Here is a 12,823-nt window from a genome sequence, read left to right as displayed (position 1 = left end):
TATATTAACAAAGGGAAGCCAGGCAGGTGGCTCAGGACTGTAAACCCAGCCCTTTGGGAGGCCGAGGCGAGTGGATCACCTGAGGTCAGGAGTTCGACACCAGCCTGGTCAACATGGTGAAAATTCTGTCTCTACTAAAAAATACAAAAAATTGGCCAGGCGCGGTGTCTCACGTCTGTAATCCCAGCACTTTAGGAAACCGAGGCAGGTGGATCACTTGGTCAGGAGATCGAGACCATCCTGGCCAACAGGGTGAAACCCTGTCTCTATCAAAAATACAAAAATTAGCTGGGCATGGTGGCATGTGCCTATAATCCCAGCTACTTGGGAGGCTGAGGCAGGAGAATCACTTGAACCAGTGAGTCAGAAGTTGCAGTGAGCCGAGACAGCGCCACTGCACTCCAGCCTGGTGACAGAGTGAGACTCTGTCTTAAAAAACAAAAAACAAAAAATTAGCCAGGTGTGGTACCAGGCGCCTGTAACCCCAGCTACTTGGGAGGCTGAGGCAGGAGTATCACTTGCACCCTGGAGGTGGAGGCTGCAGTGAGCTGAGAGCACGCCATTGCACTCCAGCCTGGGCAACAAGAGTGAAACTCCATCTAAAATAAATAAATAAAAATAAAAAGGAACACAGCAAGAAGATATAACAATTATAAATTTATATAAACCTAATGGCAGGATCCCAAAATATATTTTTAAAAATTGACAGAATGAAAGGGAGAAATACTCTTACACTAATACTAGGATATTTCAATACTTCACTTTCAACAGTAGAACAACCAGACAGATCAATAAGAAAATACAGGACTTGAACAACACTACAAACCAACTGGACACAACAGACATATACACAACACTCTACCCCACAACAGGAGAATACACATTCCTCTCAAGTGCACATGGTACGTTCTCCAGGATAGACCACATGTTAGGCCACAAAACAAACCTTAACACATTCTTAAAAATTTAAAATAATTCAAAGTATCTTTTCTGATCACAATGTTATAAAACTACAAATCAATAACAGAAGGAGAACTGGAAAATTCACACATGTGGAAATTAAACACACTCTTCTTCAACTGGTCAAAGAAGAAATGACAAGGGAAATTTGAAAATATCTTGAGACAAAGGAAAATGAAAAGGCAACATGCCAAAAGTTATGGGATACAATAAAACAATGTGAAGAGGGAAGTTTATGTAAACGCATACACTGAAAAAGAAGAAACATAACCAGATCATAACCTAATTATACACCTTGAGGAAATAGAAAAGGAAGAGCAAACCAAACCCAAAGCTAGCAGATGGAAATAATGATTACAGCAGAGATAAACAACATACAGATGGAAAAACAATAGAGAAAATCAATAAAACCAAAAGCTAGCTCTTTAAAAGATCAACAAAATTAGCAACACATTAGCTAGACTAATAAAAAGAAGACTCAAATTATCAAAATCAGAAATGAAATTTGTTAAGAAAAAGAGAAAACTCAAATCATCAAAATCAGAAGGGAAATTTACTAAGAAAAAGAGAGAAGACTCAAATTATTAAAATCAGAAGTGAAATTGGAAACAGTATTACTTATTTTATGAAAATAAAAAAGATTATAAGAGAATACTATGAACAGCAGTATACCAATAAATTTTATAACCTGGATAAAATGGGCATATTCCTAGAAACACACAATCTACCAAAACTGACACATTAAGAAACAGAAAATCTGAATAGACCTACAACTAGTGAGGAAGTGAGGAGACTGAGTCAGTAATAAGAAACCTACTGGCCAGGTGTGGTGGCTCACACCTTTAATCCTAGCACTTTGGGAGGCCGAGGCAGGCAGATCACTTGAGGTCGGGAGTTCAAGACCAGCCTGACCAACATGGAGAAACCCTGTCTCTACTAAAAATACAAAAATTAGCCAGGTGTGGTGGCACATGCCTGTAATCCCAGCTACTCAAGAGGTTGAGGCAGGAGAATCGCTTGAACCCGGGAGGCAGAGGTTGCAGTGAGCCGACATTGTACCATTGGACTCCACCCTGGGCAACAAGAGCAAAACTTTGTCAAAAAAAAAAAAAAAAAAAAAAAACCAATGACAAGCACAAGACCAGATTGCTTTACTAGTGAACCCCACCAAAACATTTGAAGAATCAACTCTAATTCTTCTCAAACTCTTCCCAAAAATCAAAGAGGAGGGAACACTTCCTAACTCACTCTATAAAGTCAGCATTACACTGATACCAAAGCCCAATGAAGCCATCACAAAAAAGAAAATTACAGACCAATATGCCTTAAGTATTTAGATGCAAAAATTCTCAATAAAATATTAGCAAAGTGAACCCAACAGCATATCAAAGAAATTATTCACCATAACCAAGTGGAATTTATTCCTGGAGTGCAAAGATGGTTCAACATAAAAAAAAATCAGTAAAATGCACCATATTAAAAAAATTAAAAGGCCAGGCATGGTGGCTCATGCCTGTAATCCCAGCACTTTGGGAGGCTGAGGCAGGTGGATCATGAGGTCAGGAGATCAAGACCATCCTGGCTAACATGGTGAAACCCCATCTCCACTAAAAATACAAAAAATTAGACGGGTGTGGTGGCGGGTGCCTGTAGTCCCAGCTACCTGGGAGGCTGAGGCAGGAGAATCGCTCAAACCCAGGAGGCAGAGGTTGCAGTGAGCTGAGATTGCACCACTGCACTCCAGCCTGGGTGACAGAGTGAGACTCCATCTCAAAAAAAAAAAAAAAAAATTACAGAAAAAACTATGTTCATCTCAGTTGATGCAGAAAAAACAATTTAAAAAATCCAATATTTTTTCATGATAAAAACACAAGAAACTAGGATAGAAAGTAACTTCCCTATCATGATAAAGGCCATATTTGAGAATCCCACAGCTAACAACATTCTCAGTGGTGAAAGAGTGAAAGCTTTCCCCTAAGATCAGGAACGAGATCAGAATGCACACATGTCACTTCTCTTCAACATAGCCAGAGCACTTATGCAAGAAAAAGAAATAAAGGTATAAACACTGGAAAGGAGAGCATAAGAATATCTCTGTTCACAGACAACATAATCTTCTATGTAAAAAACACTAACAATTCCACTCAATGGGGAAAAGGACAGTCTCTTCAACAAATTACGCTGGAAAAACTGGCTATCCATGTGCATGAGAATGAAGCTGAATCCTTATCTGACACCACACACAAAAATTAACTCAAAATGGGCTACAGGCTAAAACTATAAATGTTTTAAAAGAAAACATAGGAGAAAATTCTCCATCAACTGAATTTGGAAATGATACTTTGGATATGGCAACAAAGGCATAGACAATGAAAGAAAAAAATTAGATAAATTGAACTTCATGAAAATTATAACTTGTTTTAATTTTAATAGGACCAAAGGATACTACTGAGAGAGTAAAAAGACAAGTCACAGAATAGAATCAAATATTTGCAAATCACATATTTGCTAAGGGATTGATATCCAGAATACATAAAGAACTCCTAAAACTCAACAGTAAGTAGTGTGCAAAATGAAATTAAGGGCTGTAAAAAACAATACTGAATAGGCAAAGTACTTGAGAGTTGTTAGTTGGCTCAAGAAATCTAGAGAGAAGTGGAAGTTCAAAGAACGTGGGTGGTGTCGTCTGTCTGGACTAGACCGTGGGCTTCCTGAGGCCAGGGACTCTGCCATATATACGCATGGTAGGCTCTCTGGCAGTATTTGTTGGGGTGGATGCATAGGTGACTAGGACATTCCAACTGGAACGCAGGTTGGACCCATACTGCAAATAGTCTTCATTGCTAAGTAAGAGTATCCAGAATATATTAGTATCCAGAATATATTAATATAAAGAATGCTTATAACAGAATAACGAAAAGACAAATTTCAAGAGACATTTTACCATAAAAGACACATGACTGGACAACAAGCACATGAAAAGATGCTCAACATCATTTGTCACTAGGGAAATGCAAACCCAAACCACACTGAGATACCATCTCATACCCCCTGGGAAGGCTAGAGTGAGAAAGATGGTCAATAACAAGTGTCGGTGAAGATGTGGAGAAATCGGAACCCTCGTGCACGAAGTAAATTATAAAATAGTGCAGCTGCTCTGGAAAGCAGTTTGGCAGGTCCTTAAAATGCTAAATGTAGAATTATCATATGACCCAGTAATTCCACTTCTAGGTATCCATCTACTCAAGAGAAATGAAACATGTTCACCCAAAACTTGAACCCAAAAGTTCATGGAGGCATTATTATTCATGGAGGCATTGTTAACAATCACAGTGACCAAAAAAGTAGAAACAACCCAAATGTCCATCCACCGATGACTGGAAAAGCCATATGACATATCCATAAAGTGGAATGTTACTTAGCCACAAAACTGAAGCAAGTACTGATACCTGCTACAACATGGACGGCCCTTGAAAACATTATGCCAAATGGAAGAAGCTAGTCACAATACATCACATATTGTATGATTCCATTTATGGAAAATGTCCAAAACAGGCAAATCTATAGAGACAGATAATAAATTAGTGGTAGCCTAGGGTAGGGGAGGAATGAAGATTGACAAGGTTTCTTTTTGGGGTGATCAATATGTTCTAAAATTAGTTAGGGTGATTGTTGCATAACTGTGTAAATACACTAAAAAACAGACTTGTACACTTTACACAGGTGAACTTTATGGCATGGAAATTACATCTTAAGAAAACTGCTTATTCGAGGGGAGGCGAGAAGGGAGCAGTTGGTGGACAAAGATGGAAAAAAGACTTTATTAATAATCTTTCAATACATTCTGAGTTTCAAACCATCTGACTATACTATCTATTCAAAAGCAAATCTAAAATCAAAGGATCAAACAAAATTAAAAACAGACTCCTAATTCTCCCCCAGTTTGGGCTGGGGAGTGGAGAAGGAGGGAGCTACCACCCACCCTGCCATAGTGTGAAGCAGTGGCTGAGTAAGTCCGGCAGTGGATCTTATGTGACAAGGGCAGCCTTGGGGAGGCTCCAGGGCCCATTCATGGCCTGGAAGCCACCAAAGCCACCGGACCTGAGGGGGAGATAATGCCTGACTGACCCGATGGCAGATGCCCAACTGATCAGAGAAGCTGTCCATGCCCTTCCTCCTCTACCACTATCTCGACCTACATAAAACCCCAGAACCCCCATCAAGCCCAAAGAGGAGCATGAAAACCCTAAGACTGACACCAGCCAGGCGGAGTAGAAGCTTGAGGGAGAAGCTCCATTAACAGAAAGGGAAGAAAAGGAATTCCTCTCTGACACTAGCTCTGTGGGCTGGGCTCACACCCTGAACTACTGCAGACTGGGATGTAGCACAGAGACTCTTTCCTGCACCCTGAGACCAGAGAGCAGCCAAGGAGGGTGATTCTCAGAGCTCTCTACTTGTGCCTCCTCACACACTTGGCCGGTTAACAGGTGTTGCACCAAGAAAGAGCTCTGTGGTCAATTAGCTTGAAAAATGTTGGGTTAAAGAAAGTCAAAAAATTTTTTTAACTGCAGGACTTCTCAGAGCCTTTTCTTGTGACTCTTCAAGAGGGAGCCTGGCAGGTTCAAAGCACTTTTGTGTTTTTGAGGGATATCTAATAGGAAAGACAGTCTTCTTCATTTTACAGCTGAGGGGAAGTGGCTCAGCCAAGGTCCCAGAGGGGGTCAATGAACAACTGGCCAGGGCTGATTTGGCAGCACCAGACAGCTTCTGCCACTGCCAGGTCACAGTTCTGGCTGGGTTCCGACTCGTGGTGCCAGAGCACTGGGCAATTTCATCCTATGTCGAGGCAGCCTCTGGTCACTGCCTTATCCAGCTCGCTCAGAAACTGTATGTATTTGAGCCCCTGGTCGGGTACATGTCCGGGATATGGGTGGTGAGCACAAAAGATGATCAGAGAAAAGATTTGCTCCCCGCCTGGGGTGTGGGGACAGAGCAGCAGGGAAAGGCTGTGAATCTAGGCTGTCTCCGGGGTCCATCTGGCGGTGGGTTCCATCTGGACAGCGAGGCACCTGCAGTTTTCCCCTCAATCTGTTGAATGTAAATCAGCTGCAACCCCTCCCAGCCCCGTGCCTGCACCTCGGGTCTCAGGAGCCCAGGTGGGTGGCTGGGGTCTAGGCTTCTAGCATCCCATGAGGCACTGCCCACCAGTGCGCACAGAGCAGTGGAAGGCCTGCCTGGCCCTGGGATAAGGTATCAACTATGGGATGGCCCGAGTCTTCTAGATCTGGCCTTGGCCAAACCCTTGGTCCTGATCTCCTGCCCCCCTCCGCCACACACCCAAGGCCAGCTCTCCAGCCTCCCAGCATCACTCAGGCCTTCCCTTTTTCCTGGACATACTTATTCATTGCCTGGTCAGCTCCTCCTGCTCCTCCTTCAAGGTTCCACTGAGGTTGTCACCTCCTCCAGGAAGCCATCCCTGACTTCCCCAGCCCAAGTCAGGTGGTGTTCATTCTCTGTGTCTCGTTTGTCCTGTCCAACATCTAGCAGAGCACTTGAGAGGCTGAACCCCAGGGCCAGACAGCCTGGGTTTGACCCTGCTGCACACCAGCGGAAGGCCTTGGTAGCAATTTATGAAACTCCTCTGTGCCTCTGTGTTCTCTGCATAAAAGTGGATGAGAACATTGCCCATCTCACAGGTGGTTATGAGCATGAAGTGAGGGAGCACAGTTACATTCTTAGAGCAGATTCTTGGCACACAGCAAGTCCTCAATACAGGCCGTGGAGGATGAACATTATGGCCCATATTGCACTGCATGGCAACTGCACTCCTCTGTCTTCCCCATCCTCTGAAACCTCCCAGGGGATGGGAAGCCCAGCAACTGTCAAAGGTGGAGTGAGAGGAACGTAAAAGCCAAAGAAAGCCCATGGGCCCTTAGGAAGAAACTGAAGGACAAGGAGGACGCGGGCAGGTGGAGAGGAAGGAGGGAGGCTCCGGGAAGCAGCTGGAGCAGGGAGATAGTGCACAGAGCAGGAGAGGAGATGCAAATGGTCAGGAAACACAGGTTTTTGTCCAGTCTACCAAAAATCAGAAAAACAACTGAACAATGAAAAATTCCCAGCTCATAATTATAGAATAGTCCATACAAAGAAAAACACTAAAATGAAAATAAAGATAATATTTAAAAAATTTTTTGTGTAGCTGGCATTACATTGAGGACACAATTGGACCAGGACACATTATGGGACACAAATAAACAAAATTATGTCACCTCTTTCATAAACAGTATGTATCTCCTTTTTAATAAACAGAGCTGGGGCCGGGCATGGTGGCTCATGCCTGTAATTCCAGCACTTTGGGAGGCCGAGGTGGGCGGATCACGAGGTCAGGAGATCGAGACCATCCTGGCTAACACGTGAAACCCTGTCTCTACTAAAAATACAAAAAAAAAACTTAGCCGGGCATGGTGGTGGGCGCCTGTAGTCCCAGCTACTTGGGAGGCTGAGGCAGGAGAATGGCGTGAACCCAGGAGGCGGAGCTTGCAGTGAGCCCAGATCGCACCACTGCACTCCAGCCTGGGCGACAGAGCAAGACTCTGTCTCAAAAATAAATAAATAAAACAGAGCTACAAATATTCTAAGCAAAATATTATATGAATGAAGTCACCTATGAAAATACAGTAGATCAATACTAAATGGAATATACACCAAAATGCAAGGTCCTTAACATTCAAAATGAATCGTGTAAGTCATCCCATTAGCAGAAAAATACAGGAGAAAATAGTAAGATCATTTAGCTGAAAAGTTTTTTAAAGCATTTAATAAAATTTAAAACTGAACCACAAACACACAAAAAAACTTGAGTAAAATATAAAAAGAGGACTGGCCAGGCGCGATGGCTCACACCTGTAATCCCAGCACTTTGGGAGGCTGAGGCAGGCAGATCACCTGAGGTCGGGAGTTCGAGACCAGCCTGACCAACATGGAGAAACCCCATCTCTACTAAAAATACAAAATTAGCTGAGCGTGGCTCAGGCACGTGGCTCAGCACTTTGGGAGGCAGAGGCGGGGGGATCACCTGAGGTCAGGAATTCAAGACCAGCCTGGCCAACATGGTGAAACCCCGTCTCTACTAAAAATACAAAAATTAGCCAGGCATGGTGGTGGGTGCCTGTAATCCCAGTTACTCAGGAAGCTGAGGCAGGAGAAAACACTTGAACCTGGGAGGTGGAGGTTGCAGTGAGCTGAGATCGAGCCATTGCACTCCAGCCTGGGTGACAAGAGTGAGACTCCATCTCAAAAAAAAAAAAAAAAAAAAGCAACTTCCTTAATTTGATGAAATCTGATATCTGAAGAAGTCTAATACTAGCCAATAACAAAAACATAATTAATAGAGAATTATGGGAAGCTTTTTCCCCCAGTGCAGGAACAGACTAGGCTGCCTGCTATCACTCTTTAGTCAGCATTGTAGTGGAGAAAACAATACAGTAAGAAATAAAAAGGCATTAGGATTAATTTTTAAACCAAAAAAATTGTCATTATGTGTATATGACACTATTACATGCCTAGACAATCCCTGAAAACCCCAAAACTGTTACAATTAATAACTTACTGGATACATTATTGTTATCAACCAGATTACTATATACTAGTATGAAACCAGTAGAAAATAATGATCAAACTAGAGAACAAGTATCTATGACAAAAATGAGCCAATAAAGGATCAATGTGCAGATTTAAGATAAATCCTTCAAATCAATATTAAAAAAGGACCCTAGAAAAACACACAAAATACGCAAAGCATATGAAGAAAAGTAAGGCACAGAAGCCAATAAACATTTGCTAAACTCTACCTCACATGAAACCCGCCACTGCAAGTTCCAGGTGAGAGGATCCCTGCAGAAACACTGCAGGGCAGGATCCCAGGAGGCAGGACCACCGGGGAAGTGACGGAGCCCCTGTAGTTGGGAGGGTCTCAGGCCCAAGAGGGCCAGGTGGCTCCAAACCTCCTGCTCCAGCTTCCCCTTACTCCCCACACCAGGCACAGACCCACGTGAGTGCCCCGATGCAGGGAGGATTCTGACTGGCCATGTCTTCTCTGCCACTGTGCAGCCTGCTGAATGGCAGCCTCCTTGCCCATTACATCATTCCAGGCTTCCCTTTCATGGGTCACCTTCTCCCTCCCAACACAATGCCAGAATCCACCCCAGGAGGATAGGGACCAGGAACCAAACTGTGGCACCATGAGTGGAGACCCTGGAGGCAGACATGGGTGTAGTCACAGAGTGGAAACATGCTAGGCCTGGCTGACGGGTGACAAGCACAGAGGATGGGGACATTCAAGGGCAGACACGGGTTGTAGTCACAGGAGAGAAGACCTGGGCTACAGTCACAGGGGATCCAGACAAAAAGGGAGCTCGCTGGCTACAGCTGCATGGCAGAGAGGCACACCAGGGACAGACATGGGTACAGGTGCAGGAAAGAGGAGTAGGTGACGGTTGGCGTGGGCAGAGGGCACAGAGATAAAGACACCCGAAGGGAGATGTGGCTGTAGGCTGAAGGGTGGAGTCACAAGAGTCCTAATGTGGGCTGCATGGACAAGGGCTGGAGACACAGGAAGACAGGCATGGGAAGCAGGCACACTCAATGGCAGGCCTCTGCTGCAGTAACAACAGATGGAGATACCCAACGAAAGAGACTGGCTGCAGGTACAAACACTGGGGATAGAAGTTTTGGGCATAGTCTCCTGGGAGAAATGATCCAGAAAAAGGAAAGAAATGGGCTGAAGGCACAGGGGAAGGAGACACACCAGTGCAGACATGGCCCAAAAAGCATGGATGAAAACACTGACTGTGGACATGGATTAGGGGGACAGAGAATGTAGCAAACATAAGCTGGCATGGGCAGAAGCTCAGGGGACAGACAGACAAAAACATCGGAATGGGCTGCAAACACAGGGATTGAGGCACTGGAGGACTGCTACTGCCTGAAGGCTGAGGAGATGACAACATTCAAGGCAAGCAATGTGCTGCAAGCACACAGCATAGAGACTCACACAGCTGGCAGGGGCTGCAGGAGCAAGAAATGGAGAGGCATAAAGTGCAGGCAGAGGACAGACCACGTGACAATACACAAGGGCAGACATGGGCTTCAGTCATTACGGGATGGTGATACTGGTGAGAAGATACAGGCTTCAGGCACGAGGATGGAGACACACAAGGCCTGGTATGGCTGTAGGCGATACAGGGTGGAGACACTGGGAGGTCAATGCGGCTGCAGACACAAGGTTTGGAAACATCTGACGGAAAATATGGGCTGTCAGATAAATCCCTGCTTAGAGAGAAATTTACAGCCTTAAGGGAATGTGTTAGAATAGAAAAAGACATTGACAATCAATCACTTAAATTTCCTTCTCAAGAATTAAAAACAGTCAAAATGAAAGAATGCAGAATTAAAGTAATGAAGAGTAGACATCAATGAAATAGGGAAAAGAATGCAACAGAAACAAATCAAGGCTAAAAGTTGGCTTATAAGGCCGGACGCGGTGGCTCACACCTGTAATCCCAGCACTTTGGGAGGCTGAGGCGGGCGGATCATGAGGTCAGGAGATAGAGATCATCCTGGCTAACACGGTGAAACCCCGTGTCTACTAAAAATACAAAAAATTAGCCAGGTGTGGTGGTGGACACCTGCAGTCCCAGCTACCCAGGAGGCTGAGGCAGGAGAATGGTGTGAACCCAGGAGGTGGAGCTTGCAGTGAGCCGAGACCCCACCACTGCACTCCAGCCTGGGCAACAGAGCAAGACTCCTTCTCAAAAAAAAAAAAAAGTTGGCTTATAAATATTAATATACTTAATAAACCACTAGTGAAACTAATTAAGGCAAAGAGAAAAGACACAAAATATCACTATCAGGAACCAAAACAGAAGCCTGCCCTATAGAGCAGTGTATTATTAAGACACTAGGAGGGTTCTGTGAAATACTTAGGACTAGAAGTTTGACAACAGAGATTCAAATAACATTACATTGAAAAATAAACTTCCTAGGCCGAACACGGTGGCTCACGACTGTAATCCCAGCACTTTGGGAGGTTGAGGTTGGTGGATCACCTGAGGCCAGGAGTTTGAGACCAGCCTGGCCAACATGCCGAAACCCCATCTCTACTAAAAAATACAGGCGGGCACGGTGGCTCACACCTGTAATCCCAGCACTTTGGGAGGCTGAGGCAGGTGGGTCACGAGGTCAGGAGTTCGAGATCAGCCTGGCCAACATAGTGAAACCCCATGTGTACTAGAAACACAAAAATTAGCAGTGCGTGGTGGCACGCACCTGTAATCCCAGCTACTCAGGAGGCTGAGGCTGGAGAAATCCGGGAGGCGGAAGTTGCAGTGAGCCGAGATCGTGCCACTGCACTCTAGCCTGGGAGACAGAGCGAGATTCTGTCCCCCCAAAAATAAAAATAAAAATAAAAATAAACTTAGTAAAATGGGCACAGAAATAACATAAAACAAGAAAACTCCTACATATACCAAAGGATTTGAATTATTAGAAGTCAAACCAGCCAACAAAAATACTGTTCCACATGGAAAATTCCATACCTAAAGAAATATTCCAAATATTTAAGGCAGAAAACACCTAAATTTCTCAGACTCTTCCAAAGAGAAGAAATACAGGAAATATTTTTCAGTTTGTTTTGTGAAGCCAGCATTACGTTGGCACCACAATCTGAACAGGACATTAGAAAAAAAATTATAGGCCCTCTCTTTCATTAACAGAAATACAAATATTCTAAAAAAAAACATATGAATTAAACCACATATGAAAATGTAACACATGGATACGAAGTGGGATATACTAAAAAAGTCAGGATTAGTTAACATCCAAAAATAGCTCATGTAAAATATCCTATTTGCAGAAAAATAGGAGAAAAACTTATGATTTACAGCATATGTAAATATACTGTACAGCAAGAAAGAAATGTTAAATAAAATTAAGGTACAATGACCAGACTAAGAAACAACTATCTGCACTAGAAATGACCCCGTAAAGGATTAATTTATAGAATACCTTTTTAAATTCTTCAAATCAACGTAAGAACACAAATGACCCAACAGAAAAGCCAGCACTGAAAATGAAGACAAAGACGCAAAAGCCAATAAATATTCACAAAACTTCGCTTCACTAACTTATTTCCAGTTCCAGATGACAGAAGGCCCTCAGGGACCCAGAAGGCAGGACCACAGGGAGGTGACAGCGCCAGCAGCAGGAGGGCGGGCCTCTGCCTTGGCCCAAGCCGGGCCACAGCTCCTGGCGGGCTGCGGGGGCCGGGAAGCCAGAGCAGCCTGGCGCTCCTGGCCCCTGCACACGCTTCCCTCCCTCCACCCCGTTCCTCTCTCTCTCTCTGTGCCTTGGGCCCCGTGGGATGCGCTCACATCCAGACTCACCAGGCCCGAGACGCTGGGAGAATGGAGAAGCGCTTGCGAGCCGAAAGTCCTCCAGGAACACGTGAAGGACACTTCCTCTGCACCTGGGAACACCCTTCCCTGATGCTGGCCTCAAGGCAGGCGCGCTGCACACGCTTCCGGTCCATGACGACCACAGCGCAGAGAAACACGCGAGCCCAACCTCCACGAAAAGAAAATCGCGAAATGGGCCTTCACCTCCCTTTTATCATGGCTGTACGCAACTGCTGTACTTGTAAGCTTGGTTCTGATTGGGTGAGAAGGAACTTTTTTTGACAACTCTTATTGGATAATAGTCTCCATCTCTGACTGGATAATCTTCACTAATCGGAGTTGGAGACTTATCCAATCTGTGTTGTAGTACAGAGTCTGCTCTCATCCTATCAGAAAGAGGCTTCCAGGAT

The 12,823-nt window shown here is 44.3% G+C and overlaps 1 pseudogene across 1 annotated transcript in view, besides 1 other annotated feature; it reads right to left on the bottom strand.

Annotated features, from left to right (window-relative positions):
* Positions 1–12,653, bottom strand: part of LOC100287072 (ribosomal protein S6 kinase B1 pseudogene) — a 107,286-nt pseudogene extending 94,633 nt beyond the window's left edge. Inside the window, exon 1 of the transcript NR_172472.1 lies at positions 12,402–12,653. The product of NR_172472.1 is annotated as a ribosomal protein S6 kinase B1 pseudogene (transcript). The remainder of the gene's footprint in view (positions 1–12,401) is intronic.
* Positions 5,618–6,118: an enhancer, noted in NCBI's record as "H3K4me1 hESC enhancer chr17:20543293-20543793 (GRCh37/hg19 assembly coordinates)". NCBI's record gives its function as "activates a minimal SCP1, AML or CMV promoter by ChIP-STARR-seq in primed H9 embryonic stem cells {active_cell/tissue: H9 hESC(primed)}" and the evidence as "EXISTENCE:reporter gene assay evidence [ECO:0000049][PMID:30033119]".
* Positions 12,654–12,823: the final 170 nt, after the last annotated feature.

Source organism: Homo sapiens, chromosome 17 (assembly GCF_000001405.40).
Source record: "Homo sapiens chromosome 17, GRCh38.p14 Primary Assembly".
NCBI classification, from domain to species: Eukaryota; Metazoa; Chordata; class Mammalia; order Primates; family Hominidae; genus Homo; species Homo sapiens.
Note: the sequence above shows the minus strand (reverse complement) of the source record. Positions and strands in the feature narration are given on the sequence as shown.